Source organism: Homo sapiens, chromosome 18 (genome assembly GCF_000001405.40).
Source record: "Homo sapiens chromosome 18, GRCh38.p14 Primary Assembly".
Taxonomy (NCBI): domain Eukaryota; kingdom Metazoa; phylum Chordata; class Mammalia; order Primates; family Hominidae; genus Homo; species Homo sapiens.
This window is the reverse complement of record NC_000018.10, coordinates 42,519,806-42,539,056: the sequence shown is the minus strand read 5'-3', so window position 1 is coordinate 42,539,056 and position 19,251 is coordinate 42,519,806. Positions and strand designations below refer to the sequence as shown.

Below are 19,251 nucleotides of genomic sequence, written 5' to 3'. Positions count from 1 at the left end.
TCTGTCTCTACTAAAAATACAAAATTCGCTGGGCGTGGTGGCGCATGCCTGTAATCCCAGCTACACGTGAGGCTGAAGCAGGAGAATCACTTGAACTCGGGAGGTGGAGGTTGTGGTGAGCCGAGATCGTGCCACTGCACTCCAGCCTGGGCAACAAGAGCGAAACTCCATCTTAATAATAATAATAATAATAATAATAATACATTAAAAAGTTAAAGATATAGTCCCACACACCCACATTTGCACACATGTAATGCACAAGTACAAATTGTCTTTGAGACAATAAAGATTAAAAATGTTGGGATAAGCATCCTGCTTCATTGCTACACAAAGCAACTCAGTCTTCTATATATGTGCTTTTAAAAGAGATTTTATTGTCTGTCCTAACTATATTGATTGTATATGACATGGTAAGCATAATTTCAATTTAAGAGCATTAGTTTTCCAATCCCTTAATAAAACAATGGTATATACAACATTTGATAAATGTAATTAACACTTAAAATAGGGTTAACTCTGGCATCTTTAAGATATCTATTTTAGTGTCTGAATATTTTCTTTTTCTGAAAGAATATTCTCAACTGGGTAAGAAATTGCCTATTGAAGTGCACAAAGTTTCACCAGTGAATTAAATAGAATTAATTTACAACAGCTTTAGATTGTTAATTAACAATCTAAAAGCCCATTTGAAGAGCCATAGGAACAGGGAAGATGGGTGAGAGATCCTGAGGCAGGTGGTCTCCTGAAGGGGATCTGAGAACAGAGGCATGAGTCAGAGACTGGCCCCCAAAACACAGAAAAAGGAGTCTGAATGCAAACATGGGTGGTCAAGGGGAACTTTGCTTAAACATGATTTTGCTTGGAAGCTGGTCCTGAGGGAAGCAATTGTATCCTACACTTTTGATTATGTATCCCACTGTATCTCAAACTTAAATTTTTGACTGACAACATGAATGCATCAGAATTTTTCTTATATCATTGAAATTTCTCCTTCAATAATTATACTGTATGAATATACAGATACATCAACTATCAGTTAAATGTGTCTTTATCAGCTAAGAAATATTTTCAGATTATGTCTGCTATAATTGGATTAATACATTCCCATTTCAGTATAATGTGTTTATAAGTTTATACTAAGTTTATTTAAAAAAATAGTATGGCAAGCCTTTCCTTCCTAACAGACCATATAGATGCTGCTTCTGATTCTGAGAGTTGCTTCTGCTCCCACATAATGAATGTAAAAGGAAGTGGTTACATAGATTTATGGTGTGATTTCATGGCATTATGGTGAATACTCATAACTGCAGGACCTTGTAGAAAACAAAACCTGATATTTAACTCAAGTAGTCTGGACCCTATCCTCTGTGGGAAAACATATATTTCCTTGTAGCTTAAGGCCATCTTAGAAGAATAGATATACATGACATGAAAGTTTTAACATTTTGTGAGTGTGTGTGGAGAATTTATCTTTTCTAGTCATTCTTGGCATCATTTTTCACAATGGAAAAGCACTATCCTCATTATGCGATACGGTTTCTAGCTATAAAAATGAGAAATGTTATTTTTTTTAGTTCAGAAATGTTTGATTTAAAAAAAAGATACAAACAACTTGCTGTCAAGTTTTGGTTTTCAGATACAAATTATGCATTTTACAACTTTACCCAAATAAATGTTATCTTTCCCAGGAGGTCACTGTTCAGAAATGAATAAAGAAGAGTTATTGATACCATAAAATTACTTGATCCTGTTTGGAAAAGTAAAGAGAGAAAAAGTCTTTAACATATCCAAATAGGCTTCTTACGGTCTTTGTTTTCTACCTCAAAGCTAATCACTGTGATTTACAGAAATAGCACACACAGTACATATAAGATGCATTCTCAATAGAACACTTTTTTTTCCTTGGGGTTTTCATTTCTGTTCTGTTTTATCATTGTATAAGCAGATTCCAGTAACATCGTGCTAATTGATCTCATACTTTTTCTTTTTTGAATTGTGGTAAGCACAGATAACATGAGACCTATGCTCTTAATTTTTTAATTCTAAATGCTATTTTTCTATTTTTTTTTAATTTTGATATATTTAGGGAGTGCAAGTACAGTTTTGTTACATGGATATATTGCACAGTGGTGAAGTCTGAGCTTTTAGTGTACTCATCACCCAGATAGTGTACGTGTGCCCAATAGTTAACTTCTCATTCGTCACCTCCACCCACCCTCCCATCTTTTAGAGTGTCCAATATCTATTATTCCATGTTGTATGTCCATGTGTACACATTGTTTAGCTCCCAGTTAAAAGTGAGAACATGAGGTATTTGACTTCCTGTTCCTGAGTTATTTCACTTACTATCCACTTACATTTTTAAGTGTGTGGTCAAGTTTCGTTAACTATGAGCACAATGTTGCCTCCTACTCTTGAAAGATCTCTTGAGAAGACTGCTAAGTCCACCAATCCAATCTTAATCCTTTCATAAAGAGGTTGCAAGCTGGTAGTGTTTAGAAAAGATCTACCCAACAGATGCATTACATTTGCACCACATGGATTTAAAAACAAAACTAAACTGTCAACAGTTAAAATTACACATGAACAAAGACAAAGGCAGCTTTCTGAATTCTCTTAACCAATAGAACTCTCTCTATGCTGGACCGAAATTCTGCTAAGGCTAAATCAGCCTCTATTTCTCACCCTCTTCTTTTAAATCATTTATATGACATTCCTAATTTCTGCAGAGATTTGAGTTTTCTGCTCCCAAGACACAAAGAGCATTAGCCATACTATTCATCTCATCTATGTGCAACATTTAATCCTGCATTCACGAATGCCACTAGTCCTCTTGGAATGACTTCCTTTTTGCCTAGTGTTGGTCTGTCCACTTCAAGTCCCACTTCACCAAGAAACTTCCCCAGGCAACCATGGCTAATTTGGATTTCTCTTTTCTGTGAACTCAGGTAATACCACACAAATTAGTACTTGATCAGGCTGTTTTGCAAAGAGCCAAGGACAATGTCCCAGTTAGATCTTTGATCAATGCCACCCTTGTTAATTCACAAGTTAAGAGACAGGGTGAGCCATGAGTAAATCTCCTCCTTTGATTAAAAATGTTTTATTGATTTAGATCCTCTTTCTGTTTTCTTTTCCCTCAGAAAAATACTGTCTCCATCCTCCATCATTTTTTTCCTGATAATTCAGAGGAGTATCTGGGCCAAACAGGAAAACAATACATCTCTCCTTCAATTTCAGAGGAGGCTGCTGTTGGAAACCTGCAATTTGCTTAAGGACAGGGATTGTATCTTTCCTGCTAGGTATCAAACACATGTCCAGGAACACCGAGCCTCAGTAATCAATAAAAGTATTCAAAAGAACAAATGAAGAAATGAAGACTAGTCTAAATGGAGAAATGGGCTAAATTTAGTTGAGTCACTTAAGTAAGACTGGCTTTTGCAGGAAGCAGAGCATCTGTGATTTAATAGGAAATGGTAACCGATCAGAAATAACTACTCCACCATTTATCAGTGTCTCAAAAGTCATTCCTCAGAACCATTCTTAAGAATCATAATACCATCCAAATATCTTAATGAGAGGTAGTTCTTTAAGTTGTTAATAGCTTTTCTTTTCATAGTATTTCCTTAACGGCAGTGACTTCTAACTGCACCAGCTAGTGGGTTGCAGAGAATTTATCCCACCACAGACATGTAGGAAGATGAGGGAGAATGGATGCCAAGTTCTGGGATGTTGGTAGAACCAACAGAAATGAATGTTATTCTGCCATGAAAGCTCACAAAATCACACACACAAAAGAGAAGGAGACATTAGAGCATATTTGTCTTCATCTACTCCTTCATGAGAACACATAAGCCTAATCATCTCCCACAATAAGCAACTACCCCAGGACCAGGTCTCTAATTAGTAGCCAACCTAGGAAAGTTGGCTCTGTATCTATTGTTCTCTCCCAAATATTTCCATCAGAAAATTGCATTTTTTCTTCACTTATTAAATCATTTTTTTTACAAAACTGATCCATGACTTGACAGTCATTTTCCCAGTGTTATTTTACAGCAGGCGTTTGCACCAATGCCTGGCTAAGGAATGAACTTCCTTATCCTTCTAGTGGGTACAATCTTCCAGGCTCAGCTATCTTGAGAAGGAAGGCCTGGCACTGGGAAACAGGTGGGGGCTGTTACAGACACTGAAATGTGAAACAGGAGGCAGGCTGAGCAGTGTTGCAGGGAGACTGCACCAATTCAAAACCTGATTATCTGGTCATTTTTTCTCTGGCATCTGCTCCTGAACTCCATTCATCATGAACTGTAAAAAAAATAAATAAATAAAATTTAAAAATCTAGTATTTGTGCACTCACCTTAACATTAGAAAGACCCAGCCTGGAGGAGAATGTGTAAGCATATTTGGAAAAAAAAAAAGTGTGCAAGTGAGAAAAAAAAAAATACATGGAGCATTGTAAATCTATTTAAAAACAAAATCTAAATGTCATACTATATATCATCCTATAATGGAGCTCCTGCTGTGCCCTTCACTGTCTCCTTCTTGCTTTGGCTCCAGGCTAGGCTGCATCAGCCACGAGATAATATCTGTATATATTTTTTGACCAGCAGCACCCAACAGAAGGTTCTGGGGCTTATTGCCCAATTTGAATTTTAGAATAAAGGAAGAGAGGATCTTTGGTAAAGTGCAAATTAAGTCAGCATCCTAATTGGCAGTGACAGCCTCTCAGGTCTCTATCCCTCTCATATCTTTTTGTTTTTTTCCATGGGCTGTTGTCTTCTTCAACTTTCTATGGTGGTCAGTGTCTACAGACCCTCTCCTTTCTGTTCCCTCTAAGATCTGCTTTTTGCAAAGCATTAGGAATTCATTTGCACTAAGGTGTGGATATCTAAGGGCAGCTTTTGGTGGATAAAATGTCCACCAGAACAATGTAAGGAGGTTTTCACTAATGAAATTTCAAGAATAAGTTATCAAATGACATGTATACTAGAAGAGACTTGGGGAAGTCCGGGCAAGGGCTTAAGAGGCAAGCTCCTTCCCTGGGAAAATGTCTTCCAAAATTTGGCCACTAATTATTGAACCAGACAGTTCTTTTTAAGGGGGAATGGAGCTGGAATTAAGGTCAGGAGACATGACTGCGTCTCCACGATTATTAAACACTTTGATCACCATCCTTCTTACCTCTTAGATGTAGTTCTACAAACAAGAACGGAAGTACGAATAAAGTTCAAAAGTCATCGCACGATTGTCTCATTCGAATCTGAAAGTAGATAAGCAATCCTCGCAAATGCTAGGTTAAGAAGTGGCAGGATAACTATAAAGCCTTGTGCTGCTTATATCTGTTGACACAACCTTTATTTTTAGCTCTGGCCCTTGTTTAATAAAAAGAGGTTGAGATTTAGGATTGGCAAAAGCAGAAACTTTCTGAGAAGGAAGAAGGTGAAAGCAAGCACCAATAATAGATAAATAAGATCAGCACAGGCCTGCCAATTGTAGTCCCAGACCTCTAACAAGACCCCATATAGCAGACAACCCTTTAATAGGAGGTGTCCTGTTTTCACTGTGCCTCAAGACAGGGAGCAGAGGTGAGAAGTTCATTGCATACTGTTTTCTTAGCTCCCTGCTTTCCACGGGGCTGCCATTTCCTCCCTTCAGCCTCTCAAATGTAAGTCTGTGTTTAGAGCGTCATAGCAGGCAGTCAGCTCAGTCTTAATATTCTTTATTAAAGATCAAATAAAAACACAAAAAGGAGACGCAGCCTGAAGAACTTCCTCATGGCAGGGGGCCCATCTCTTGGAAAAATGACTGTCCATTTGCTTTGTCTTGTGTCCTCCCCATTAGAGGTTCCCGGAGTGCTCCTTGGCAACATCTGTAATCACACACCCTCAGCAGAACCCTGTGAGAGTGATTTTTCTTTAATGAAAAAGATCAGAGCCTCTGGGGAAGAGAGGAGAGGAGAAGGAGAGGCTTTAGTGTGTATGCTAGGTTGGAGGAACAGACAGAAAGAATGTAATACTCTTACACTTCATGTCATATACACTTAAGTGGAATAAGTTACTCCATTAAACTTTTTATTCTGTACTTTCAGGGATGGTTTACTGAAAATACTAGTTCAATATACGTCCATTCTGGTGAATATTCTATATTAGCACACTAGTAAGCAGAACTTCCAAATAATTTATATAAAGGATGAAGCTCCTCCCAGTGATGACATTGTGAAAGGGCCATTGCAGACATATCTGTCTTCTGTCTTCATTATATGCTTATAACATTTAGTACTAGGGATCTTAGATAGCTCATCAGTGCTAAATAATAGTCATGTGGTCATTGAACGTAAGCGATCATTTCTTCCCTCCAAAGTCTCCTCCCCAGCTCTAGGCTGGGTACATTACATGGCTCATCTCTTTTATCCCTGTACCTGAGCCCTGTTCATTCATTCATTTATTCAATGCTTACTTATGAACAGTCCTTGTGTATGCAATTTGAAAAAATCAGAAATAATTGCTAACTTCATACAGTTTGTATTTGAGTCAGGGAGACAACCAATTAACAAATAAATGGGCATAAATAAGTATACAGTATATATTTCGTGAACCTTAGACAAGGAAAAAGAAGTAGTGTTGCCAAGAAAAAGAGAAATAGAGATAACTACCATGGATTGGGCATCAGATGAAGCCTCTCTAGAGGATGGGAAAGAGCCAGGAGAAATGTACTCTAGAGAAAAAGCAGATGCAGGAAGATTCTAAGTCTGGCTTTTGTCTGACCAAATATTTTTATGGTCTCTTAGCCCTCCCTACTTTGTTTCTGCTCCTCTCCTCATGGCCAAAAAGGCTTGGAGTTAGCTCTGGACCAGCAGTTTGTAAAGGCCTTGCTTCTTACCTGCAAAATTATTTGTTAATCATGCTATGTCTGTCTACTTACCTGCTGTGTTTCCCTGCGGTCAGTCTACCTCACCGTTGTGAGTCACCTTCCAGCCACCCTCTTAATGCTGTTTTCATTACTTCTCTTTGTCATTAATTCAAATCCTCTTTCTTTGTCTTTCTTTCTTTCTTTTCCCTTTCTTTCCTTCTTTCTTTCTTTCTTTCTTTCTTTCTTTCTTTCTTTCTTTTCTTCTTTCTTTCTTTCTTTTCTTTCTTTCTTTCCTTTTTAATAGAGACAGGCTCTTGCTATGCTGCCTAGCCTGGTCTTAAATTCCTGGCCTCAAGCAATCCACTTGCCTTCGTCTCCCAAAGTGCTGGATCAAATCCCTTTTCTAAAATTGTGCTTATTGATTGCAGTAACTCATCAGATCTAATACAAGGAGCATTTCCTCTAATACCAACTGCTATCCTCTGTCTTGGACTGTGGTCCATATCAACAGTCAGATCTTGCTTTGTTTTCATCTCACTAGAAAAACATTCCCTTTAACTGAGGACCAGCATTGGAACCTCCCTTGGCCAAGTCCTTCATGATTGACCTCCTAGCCATCTGTACCCTGACTCCAGCAATGGGAACTAGATAGTGTCCAATTATGCCTGCTGATGCAACAACTAGTATTATTTCCATAAATCAAGTCAGAGACATAAATCGGGTGTTTATAAGAATGGGATCTGAAGTTAGGCTGCTGGCTTTGAATCTTGGGTCTCACTGGCTGTGAGACCTTGGGAAAAACACAACCTATTTCTGCCTCAAGATTTTCAAATATAAAATGGAGGCAACCTACATAACTCACAGGGTTTTTGGAGGATAAGGAAGGAAGTACATGTAAAGTACTTAAAATGGTATCTGGTACACGGTACAAATCCCCAGAAAATATCATCTAGAGCTACAAAGGGAAATCAATCAGTAACTTGTTATGAGCTGTAGCATATAAACTAAGAGGTTTTGGTCTAAGAAGCATAGAAAATAAAACTGTAAATACTAAAAATTTAGATATGAGATTAGAGTGGGTCCAGGTCATGACTGAGCCACCAGAATACTGAATTCTGTGTCATAATTTTCCTTAAATTTATTCTAATCTGAAAAATGAATCATATTACTGTGTATGTGTATGTAGAGCTGAGTGTGTGAATTTGGGCCAGTTATCCCCAACTTCTGCAAAGGAAGACAGTCAGGGGCCCAATAAACAGATCATTTTCCTCTTTGGGTTCCACTGACGCTCTGCCCCTCCCTCATTGTCAACTCAAGGGTTAGAATGGGATGACCCTTCCTATGCTTCAGTGATTATTAATTTCTACACATTCAACAATGTCAAATTTCTGTGCTTATGTCTTTTAATACTTCAAGCTTCCCAAAGGGACCCCACTTATACCCTAAAGATGTGTGATACAGACATATAAGAATGTAAATAGCAGCGTATGATACTCATACACAGCTGCATGTTAATTGGCTATGTAGACAACAAATGGATGATACTGTGACATGTGAAGACTTCATGCAAAGACAAGGTCATGGAAATCAGATAGAGGTTTGAGAGCCATAAGTTTAGACTGTTCATTTTCCCAGATGTTTGCAGCCAGTTTGAAATGTAGCTTGCACAGAAACATGACTCTGCTAACTCCAGCCAGCTACACACTCCTGCCATTAGTAATAAATGACCTTGGTAGTCTTGAAAATGAATAGCATCCAGTGTTATAAGGTGGCTCTGTTCCAGATGATGTTTGTTTACATGCAGCAATTAGAGTCCAGCTGCTATAGGGAGACAGTCATATAGGGAGACAGCTGGATTTCAGGAAAAGTACATGTAAAGCACTTAAAATGGTATTGGATTTATACGAACTGAAGGAGTTGGACTTTGCAAAGATGTGTCCAAAAGCCTGCATGAAATCATGAACCTCCTTGGGCTCATCCTGACACTCCAATCATGTTGCCCTGAACAGTGGCAAAATCTATTCATTCAACAAAAAAGGACCTGCACTGGGACCGCCATGAGGAAAAAGATAAAATGTCCAAGCCCTCAAGGCAACCATCATGAACTCACACTCAGATTGTAGACCCAAACCTCTCTTTCTGAGCAGTTTCAATTCCAATACTTCAATTCAGTAAGGAATTGGTGCAGTATGAGGCCAGGGGAGTACAGGGCAGGTAAGAATGGCAAAAAGTAAGAAAAGGGAGACCTAAGAGAGAACCAGCAGAAGCTTAGCTGGGAAGTAAAATACAACTCCAGATAAAAATAAAGAAATAAAATGTTACTCCAAAGCTGCATTTCTGAATCCGAGGGGGGTGGTGCTCTATCATCGAGAATGTGGCAGATACATTTCTGCTTTCAGAGTTTTTTTTCTCATATTTCCCCCTTATCTATTCCTCCATACAACAGTTTCAAGCCCTGGCATGTTGTCCTGAGGGACAGGAATGAATTTGCAGTGGAGGGGATTTGTCATTGAGTAGAAGGCAGAATCTGTTGGGAAGATACTTTCCTCTGTCTTTCATTTCCAAAACAAACAAACAATAAAAAACTCCACTTAATTGAAAAGATAAACCTAAGTATCCTGGGCAGAGGTCACTTTAGACCTGGACAGTTTGCAGACAGTCTTAAATGCCAATCAATTAATTTATTTTAAAATGAAACTTGTCAGTATTAAGGATTGGTAAATTTCACACAACAATCTGCTTCTGAAATCTCTTACAGACATCAGCACTCAGGCAACACTGGGCCCACATCCCTCTCATGAGGGGACTGGCTCACCCCGCACTGGCTAAGACAATGTTCCTTTCATAAGAATTATGGATGGTCTCTGCCTACCCACTTCACTCAGCCATTTACTTCTTTGGCCTTGAGTGCAATTTGACTTGGTGATTAATAAAATTGGACCTGAGGAGGAAAGCGTAACTTCTGAGCAGAACTGAAGATAAAGGAGCCTGGGTTCTTGGTGAAACAGGTGCCTTCTCCCTATTCTCTGGCAGTGTCCTGGGGAATGGGGGAGGACTTTGAAGTCTCTGACGTGCACATCTCAGACCCCACACCACAAAAAATGTCCACATCTATTTTAAGACACCAAAAGAGTGGTAATCCAAGATTTAAGGATCTAAGCCAACAGCCATCACTACGATTCCAAGCATGGACATAAAGGCCTATGACCAGAGGTGTCTCTCTGGAACAAACATGGAACCTTGGCATGACCCTTGACAAGGCTGTGGGGCATGAACCTCAAATGACCTGAAGCAAAATTTCTCATCAACCTCAGCAAGTCAAACTCTCATGTTTGGTAATTACATGATTTAAGAAAATAAAAGTCATATTTCTTGCAAACTGAATTTATGAAGTTAGAATTGTACCCACTACATTGATGAAACTGAGAGGAAAGGGTTTTGTTTTCTCTAAGTTAGGAATCAATGACTCAGGTATTAATGACATCCAAAATGACATTTTTTCCTGATAGCTAGAATTACTTACAAATTTATTTTTTTTAAAAAAGAAACAAAATTAATTAATTCAAATAAGCAGTTGTTTTTCAAATAGCTAATTGGGAGGTTCATTTAATAGCACCTCTCAGTTTTTGTTGTTTTTTCAGAGACAGAATCTCACTCTGTCACCCAGGTTGGAGTGCAGTGGCCTGATCATAGCTCATTGCAGTCTCGAACTCCTAGGCTCAAATAATCTTCCTGCCTCAGCCTCTGCAGTAGCTGGAACTACAAGTGTGTGCCACCATGCCCGGCTATTTATTTATTTATTTTTTATTTTTGTAGAGACAGGGTCTAATTATTTTGTTTTGGCTGGCCTCAAGGACTCTTCCTTCCTCAGCCTCCCAAAGTGCTAGTATTATAGGCCAGCACCACTGCACTGACTTGTTTAGTCTTTGGAGCTGAAAGAAGTGCCTTATTTTATTGACAGTCTTGTTGGTGTCTTGTTGGTGATACTTGATTGGATGCCATTGTCTTGTTGGCCTTACAATCAGATAGCACCAGAAGCAAGGGAGCTCAGGGGGCTCTTCAGACTGCCTGACAACTTCCGGAGTGTCTTATATACTTGAGAGGATCAGACCTACTGTATTGGATTACACTTAGCAGGCCCCAGTACAGCCTTTGAAACTCCATCTTTTTTTCTGATAGTGTGACCTATTAAAGTCTCCTGATGGCGTAAGTGCATCAGCTGTGTGTATGCACAAAGTAGATAACATTGCAAATAAGAGTGCTATGCTATCTGGCTTTATCACATTTAGCATCCCTTTTGAAGTTAAAGAAAAGATTATCCTGTAAATGCTTGGCAAGCCACAGTTAATCCTCATCTTCATGAGGGAACGTGAAAGGACACCCTTAACACTCAGTATCGGCTCGTGGTTTTGTGTTATAAATGTGAGGGTTGAATTTGATGCTACAGTGGTGAAACCCATCATGTCACTATTTTAGATGATGCTCCACCAGCCATAACAACAAGGCATTTATTTTTTCATAAAATGTCTGCATTGGTCTTTTTTATATCAAATCCAATAAAGATTTCAGTGTTGTTTCAGCTTTCAGAAACTAGGAACTTAAAAACCATAGTTTATGGCAATAGATCTTAAACAGAGATAATAATTTTGCTGGTGTGTTTTTTGGTTGTAGGGTGTGTTTCCCAGTGGCTATCTTTGTCGTTGTACAGTAAGCCATAATGTTTTCCTTCCCAAGAGCCTGAGGACGTTTTAGTGATTCCATGTTTAGGAAAAACATGGGGCAATTTTGCCTGAAAGACAAAAAAGAACTCATTAGTAGGTCCTTCTGGTCCTGATTATTATGTCAGAATCAGAAGAGAGTGGGACTAAAGAAGACTTCTCATATGATTTATAGACCTTGTAGAACTTCACTGTTAATCCCTTAAATCATAAAATAAGTTAGTCTAATTTTAATCAAAATATTTCTGATTCTTTGATGTAAAGAGCTTGCATTATTTCAAGTAAGGGTGGGTTAAGGACTTTCTTGCTAATTCTAAACTAAGCTTCTAGAAGTATCTACTTAAAATGATTGTAGATATGTGTATGTGTATGTATCTATATATATAGGTATATCAAAAATGTGAAATAACTTATAATTGAATCATTTAAAATTGTACTTTTTAAATAGCTGTTTTAAATGTACCTGGAATTTACTTCGTAGGTGACTGAGTGATGACTTAGAGAAGCCAACGTCATTGAAAGAATAGTTTATTACTTGCAGTACCCAAAAAGAGAAGGCATACCATCCTGTGGGGCCACATGGGCAAGCACCAGGGTTATCAGGAGAAAAGAGTGAGGGGAAGGCATGGATGAGAGCCTTTAATTCTACAGTGGCAGGAAGTTGTTAGGTGGAAATATCTCCTGTTGGGCAGGAAGCAAAACACAGGTATTGGGGTTTGTGGCTGGAAGATTTTTAATACGGTTTCTCTGCACCTGTGAAAATACAAGATGGTATGAATGTAAACTACTTTGTCTGTTAACTTGGCCTATGATTTCCAAGATGCCAAATCATCAGCTGCAGAATATTAAGAATTATTCTTACAACACTGTAGACTAACACTTATCAACTGAAATGTCTTTGGTAGATACTTACCAAAAACAGTCTTTTAACTCTTTGAAATTATATTTATGAAATATTCTCATCAATTATTTTGTAGTAGGAAAAAATAGAAATATATATATGCTGGTGGGAAGCAATTTATCTTTTAAAAATATTTCATTCCAGGCTAACCACAAACTATTCAGCAACACTTAAAAGATTGCTTTTTTTCTCTTCCGTTAAAGTTGAGAAGAGGCTCTGATTAAATGTGCACTAAAATTGCTGTTTGTCAGCACTGTGAACACAAAAAAGTGTGTGTGTGTGTGTGTGTGTGTGTTTAAATGGTTCAATTAGTATTCTGTGGTAATCTGCTCATCACATAGAAACAGCATCTAAGCAGAGGGCTTGACATTCAGAATCAATACTGTGCTGAACATTTAAGTGTCACAGCAAATATCAATAGGCCCAAAGTCGTTCATGTGCTGGGCAAAGTCTAATTGGCAATGCAACCAGAATGACCAATTTACTTACAAATACTTCCTGCTGGAGTTCTTCCCCTCATTCATATCCAATTGTGGGCATATCACAGGGTTGGCAAATGCAGGAGCCCACACTGGCTCAGCATGACTGCTCTCTCTGAGTGCAGTAGCTCACCCTACATCACACAGGACTTAAACCCAGGCTGTCACACTATGAATCGGGTACTTTTGGGCCAAGTGCACAGGCCTTCTCTGTTCTCTAATTTTATGTTTATATTTGAGATGTAATTTTTTAAAAGACTGTAAACAAATAATATTAAAACTAATTGAACATGAAAAACCTAGTAGTCTCTGAACAAAATCCACATTATGACTAAATTAAATGAAGAAGTGGGCTGTAACATATAGCTACAAGCTGAGTAGACATTGTGAAAAGTACCTTGTAACTTCAAGTGATGAGAAGCAGGGTGATGTACTGGAAACGAAAGGGGACCAGAATATGGAGACATAAAACCCTGCCACTCATTCTTCCCTTGTTATATTTAACATCACCACTTACCCTCTCTGAGCTTCAGTTTCTTGTTTGGTAAGAGAAGAAAATATTGCATGTCTTATTTACTGTGTACTGATCAAATGAAACAATTAGAAAAAGTAACATATTATTTAGCATTGTCTGTTTCTACCAGCTCATTTTTCTAAAGTTTAGATTTATACTTTTTAGGCTTTTTCAGAAACAAAATACTTGAATTTAGCCAAATAGCTTGTTATAAATTGAAGAACAACTCTTTATATCAACCTCTTGTTTTAAGTATATTACCTATATAAATATTACCTTAAAAATAGTTCATGTAAGCACCAGTCTATTACTAACTTTGTTGAACAAAAAAATCCTTCATCCTGTAGGTTTCATTTCTCAAAGCACTGCTCAAAATTCAGGTGTTGAAAGGAGTCATGAACATATCACCCAGGTGACAGGCATCTCAGGAACAAAGTTTGGTGGTCCCAGGAGACCAAGACATATGAATCAGGCATTCCCCAGCCTAGACCCTGAGTCAATACAAAGCTAGTTCATTAGTACTGGAGGACTGCGGGGGTCATAAGCCAAGAGGATCATTATTAAAATCCATTTATTCAAGATTGCTTTTGTATTATTCAATAAATACCACTGTGTATAGAACAAGTTTCAAAAAAAAATAGAGAATATAAAGATGATTAAGGGATAGTCCCTTATGAAAAAGTATATAGGAAACAAAACTCTCTGTGAAAAGTTCCCTAGGCTTTCCTCAACAAAGTCTTCAACCTGGGCATATCCCACAATACTACTCTTCTTTCTTTCTGTGTGTAGTGGTTTAAATAGATTTCCCCCCAAAATTCATGTCTATGCAGAACTAGTGAATGTGACCTTATTTGGAAATAGGGTCCTTGCAAATGTCGTCAAGTTAAGATGTGCTCATACTGGACTAGGGTGAGCCCTAAAACAAATATAATGGATGGCCTTGTAAGAAGAGGGCAATTTGGAAACAGAGCAACCAAGGAGAAAAAGCCATATGAAGAGAGAAGCTGAGACTGGAATTATGCAACCATGAGAACAAGCATGCCAATGATTGCTAGCATCCACTGGAAGCTAGGAAGAGAAAATTATTCTTTCCTAGACCCTTCAGAGGGATCGTGGCTTTGCTGACATCTTGGTTTCTAGCTTCTATAACCTTAAAAAATAAATAATTTTCTGTTGTTTTAAGCTACTCAGTTTGTGGTGTTCTGTTATGACAGCCCAAGGAAACTAATACACTAGGGGAATTAAGACCTACTATTTCTCTTTAGAGCAAATGTCATTTAGATAGCCAGGGAAATTGATTTAACAGATATCAATCTAGAATAAAATAGGATTGAATGCCAAAAGGATTAGGAAGGAATAGAAAGATCAAGGAGACAAGAAAATTACAGAATTGAATACTTGATTAAAGCTAATTTATTTGGGTTAATTATACTAAGCTTAATCTAACTCACTTTACTGACGAAAATCTTGAAGAAATGTCACTCAAACAGTGACAATATTAACATCTCCTCTAAGCAGCCTCTTCCCTGAAGCAATCAGTTGCTGCTGCTGACCCTGCCTTGTTTCTCTGTCTTTGTCTTTCCAGTGTTTCCACCATGGGACCTGCCAGCATTTCAAAAGCCCATCCCCAATTCCACAGCCGTCCCTGACAAGATAGAAAGCAGCATCAGCTTTGTCATTTGCTACAACTTATAAAAGAGAAAGAGATCATGATTGTCTAATATGTCAAGTGTTACAGTAATTACTTTTACATACATAGATTCATCATTCATTCATCTCTCACTCGTATTTGTCCTGACTATTTTTATTAAGGATTTCTTAAGTGCCTGGCATTAAATCAAATTTTCAGGATTCCAGGTTGGACAAGAGAGTAATGGTCTCTGCCCTCTTTTCCACTTACATTCATCTTTTTTTCCCTTATACTGGGAGTTAGAACTTGGTCCATTTGCTGAGTTCCTGTGTGGCCTCTGAGCCTCACCTGACCAAGGATCTAATATTCAGGCACAAACACCTGTCTGAAATTTAAGCCCCATACAGCACCTTTGCAGACCAGACCCACTTAGATTTGCTTAGTTTACTGGATTGGGCTTCTTCTCTGACAACTCACATCCCTTTAGCATTTGTCCTGTTTTCCTTAGGGCCTGATCTCCCCTGTGGCACAAAATCAAGCCTAAAATCTAGCAATGGCTGAGGATCCTTGGCTAGCATTTAGTATCTTTCTTTTCTTAGAGTAGAGTGTCTCCCTAATATGCTGCTTCCCCCCAAATCATTCATTTTGTCTGCCAAGTAGACTTTAAATATTCATTTGGTATTTACTATGTGCCAGACACCATTCTAAAGATATGAGTCTAACCATGATAGGTACAGTTTCTTCTGTCATGGAACTTAGTTCTACAGAAAGCAATAGACCAAGAAAAGGGGGGAAAACCTAAAAAATCGACCAAAGAACCCCAAGTAGTATACAATAAATAAAACAACTGTCAGGACTAAGGCATCCTATTAAAACAAAAATGAAAAGAAGGAGCCGAAACAAAAATAAAAGAAGAGGTTGGGGAAGATCTATCCAAGGAGATGTCATTTAAACTGATGATAACAAAAGGAATAAATGAAACTAGCCCATAATTATGGATAAAATTACACAAGTCCAGGTCTGTACAAAGACCCCGTGGCATTGCGAACCATGCTGTATTCCAAGAACTGAGAAAAGACACATAGATAGGGCATAGTTTGTGAATAGAAGGAGTGATTTTATTAGCTTTCTATTGCTACTGTCACATAATACCACAAACTTAGTTGCCTAAAACAACACAAGTTACAGTTCTGGAGGTCAGATGTTTGAAATGAGTTTCCCTAGGCTAAAATCAAGGTTGCCAAGGAGTCCATGCCCCTACCTTTTCTGGCAGCCTGTTTTTGGTTATGGTCCCCCTTTCTAGCAATCGCATCATTCCAACCTCTGCTTCTGTCATCACCTCTCCTTCCCTGACTCTGACCTTCCTGCCTCCTTCTTCTGAGGACCCCTGGGATTTCATTCAGCCCACACACATAATTCAAGCTAATCTTATCTCAGCATTCTTAACTCACCTCTGCAAAGTTCTCTTTGCCAGGTAAGGTAACATATTTACAGGTTTAAAGAATTAGAATGTCAATATTTGGTGGGGAAGTGGGGAACATTATTCTGTTGACCTCAGTGACATAAGGCAATATTGGAGATATGTAAAAGTTCAAGGCAGAAAACTTAAGTCATGGTAAGTAATTTGGATTTTGTGAAAATGGGAAGCTATGAAAGGTTTTAAGAACATAAGTTGTTTCCTAACACATGTTTTTTAAAAGATTATTTATACAACTATGTGGAGAAAAGATTCAAGATGGGAAAGGAGGCTAACTGGAATCAAAGAGAAAGAAATTTATCCCTTTAAATTGGATAAGAGATGGCAGGTGTTTGGACTAAAATGGTGACAGTGGAGATGAAGAGTAATAGGAAAACTCACTTAAATCAACTGAACTTGATAGTAGAGTCTATATGAGCAGAGTGAAGAAAAATTCAAGAATCAAGGCTAAATCTCAGGGGTTTTGTTTTGTTTTGTTTTTTATTTATTATTATTTTTTTGAGATGGAGTCTCACTCTGTCACCCAGGCTGGAGTTCAGTGAGCGATCTTGGCTCATTGCAACCTCCGCCTCCAGGGTTCAAGCCATTCTCCTGCCTCAGCCTCCCGAGTAGCTGGGATTACAGGTGCGTGCCACCATGCCCAGCTAATTTTTGGATTTGTAGTACAGACAGGGCTTCATCATGTTGGCGAGGCTGCTCTTGAACTCCTGACCTCAGGTGACCCACCCACCTTAGCCTCCCAAGGTGCTGGGATTACAGGCTTGAACCACCATGCCTGGCCAATCTCTGGTTTTTAAATATGTATTTTATAATGGGGAGAGGAGGAGAAAGGAGGGTACAGGAGGGGAGGGGAGGGGTGGGGAGGGGAGGGGCAGGGAGCGGAGGGGAGGGTAGGCAAGGGGAGGAAGAGGAAGAGAAAGAACTCTGAACTCCCAGGCACCAATTATTGGCCTCTGACCGTCACAGGTGCAGCTGCTGTCACTACGCTTGGCCTCTGATTGTCATCTTTACACTTGAAATGATTCTTGCAGTCCTCCTGAATTACATTCTCACCCTCCTGGGATATGATAGAAAGCACTGTTTACCCATTTACTCTCTAATTCTAGTTTTTATTTACCTGTTTTATATTGTCACTCTTAATGATTCCCACTCTTCATTTCATATAAATTTTTTTAATGTTCCTCAGCTAATGACTTCCAAATGAAGCTACATCCCGTCTAATATTCAACCATTAAAATGATAGTGTCTTCTTAAGAGAAAAGCCCCAGGCTTCCATATAGTCCCAAGACTTTCAGGAAAAGGAAAATGTGTCAGTGCTAGAATCTGATAAACTCAGAAGAGACTTTGAAAAATCCAGTCTAATGTCCTTTACCTTATATGTGGGGAAACCAAAGCCTCAAACTCCATTCACTGACAGATGCAGAGCAGGTACAAACAACTCAGACAACAAAAGCCTTCACATGACAAGGACACTTTTTCCTGAACCATGTTATTTCTAGACAGATAAAAATAATAATCTGATGCCAACATGTTCTTGCCTCCGTAGAGACAATAATGATGAGATATGTTATGGAATCTCAGTAGTTTTTCTGTACTCTGAGAGACTTAAAACAAAAAAATAAAATCTTTCCCACAGTTGACTAAGCCTTCAGATATCTCTTTATGTGAAGAAAAATATTGGGGATAATTGTGCTGCCCTAACTAGAAGAAAAAGCCATAAGTTGTCTCCATTATGTTATGCTAATGAAAGATGTCCAGTCAGCAACCCCAAAGACTGAAATCGTTCTTTTCCAGAGAAGGGCAAAACTCAGCCTCAATGAGTGTTTGGAAGGTGGACCAGGGGGACGCTAATTAAATTTCCATGACCAATTCAATCTCCGATCCTCTTTCTCAAGTTCCAGCAGTTCCTGATGATCATCAATTGTGAAGGTCTTTTAGGCTGCGCTAGGATCTTAACTAAGACCAATAACTCATTTCATAAGTCACCGAACAGTTGACAAAGGATAATGACTTTCAGTCAGTCTTAAGCTGGGGATAGATTCCAACCAAAGACATAAAGGTGAAAGTCCTCTACCCAGTGTCCATTATGCAGCTCCAAGGTAGTTAATTTACACTTAATGCAATTGTATATTTGAAAGCTGAAAAGATCCAAGTGATAATTAATCTTCAAGAATGCATTTAGCTGTGACTTATCTTGCTGAAAGCTTTTCCTACAGTGGACTTTGGAAAGTGGCATGTGCAGACTCCTCCACATTAAATAGGTGTGACTGTGTCCAGAGATTAGCCAAGCACAGTGTGTTTTTGTAGAACTCTTTGGAGCAGCAGATTAAAATTGAATTCGAGTTGTAGATACATGATAATATTAGAATTTTGGTGGTTGATTTTTTGTGTTGAAAGGAAATTCTATGATAAATGATAGGAATTTTTTTTTATATCACTCAGTGTTTCCCAATGGGTAATAAATAGACTCATTAAACACACGGAAATCTTTTAACAAGAGTATTTGACTATCAATGGATTATTATTTAACTATCATGGATAAACACTGAGATTCTCAGCAGAAAATTGCTCCACATGTTTATAAAAGGTGTGAAGATCTCTGTTTGCATAATACAAAAATAGTCATAGAATTGTTGTAGCTTGTGGAGATATTAAAATTCTCTGACCCAAGCCTCTTACTTG

At 38.3% G+C, this 19,251-nt stretch overlaps 1 long non-coding RNA gene across 2 annotated transcripts in view; it reads right to left on the bottom strand.

Moving 5' to 3' along the window:
• The window catches only part of LINC00907 (long intergenic non-protein coding RNA 907), a 504,759-nt gene that overhangs the window by 152,370 nt on the left and 333,138 nt on the right, over positions 1–19,251 (bottom strand). Inside the window, exon 7 of one of the 2 annotated variants that reach the window (NR_046454.1) lies at positions 5,705–5,938. The exons of the other annotated variant lie outside the window; for it this stretch is intronic. This is a non-coding gene — a long non-coding RNA (long intergenic non-protein coding RNA 907). Of the gene's footprint in view, positions 1–5,704; positions 5,939–19,251 lie in introns of those variants that run through there. 2 annotated transcript variants of the gene reach the window in all.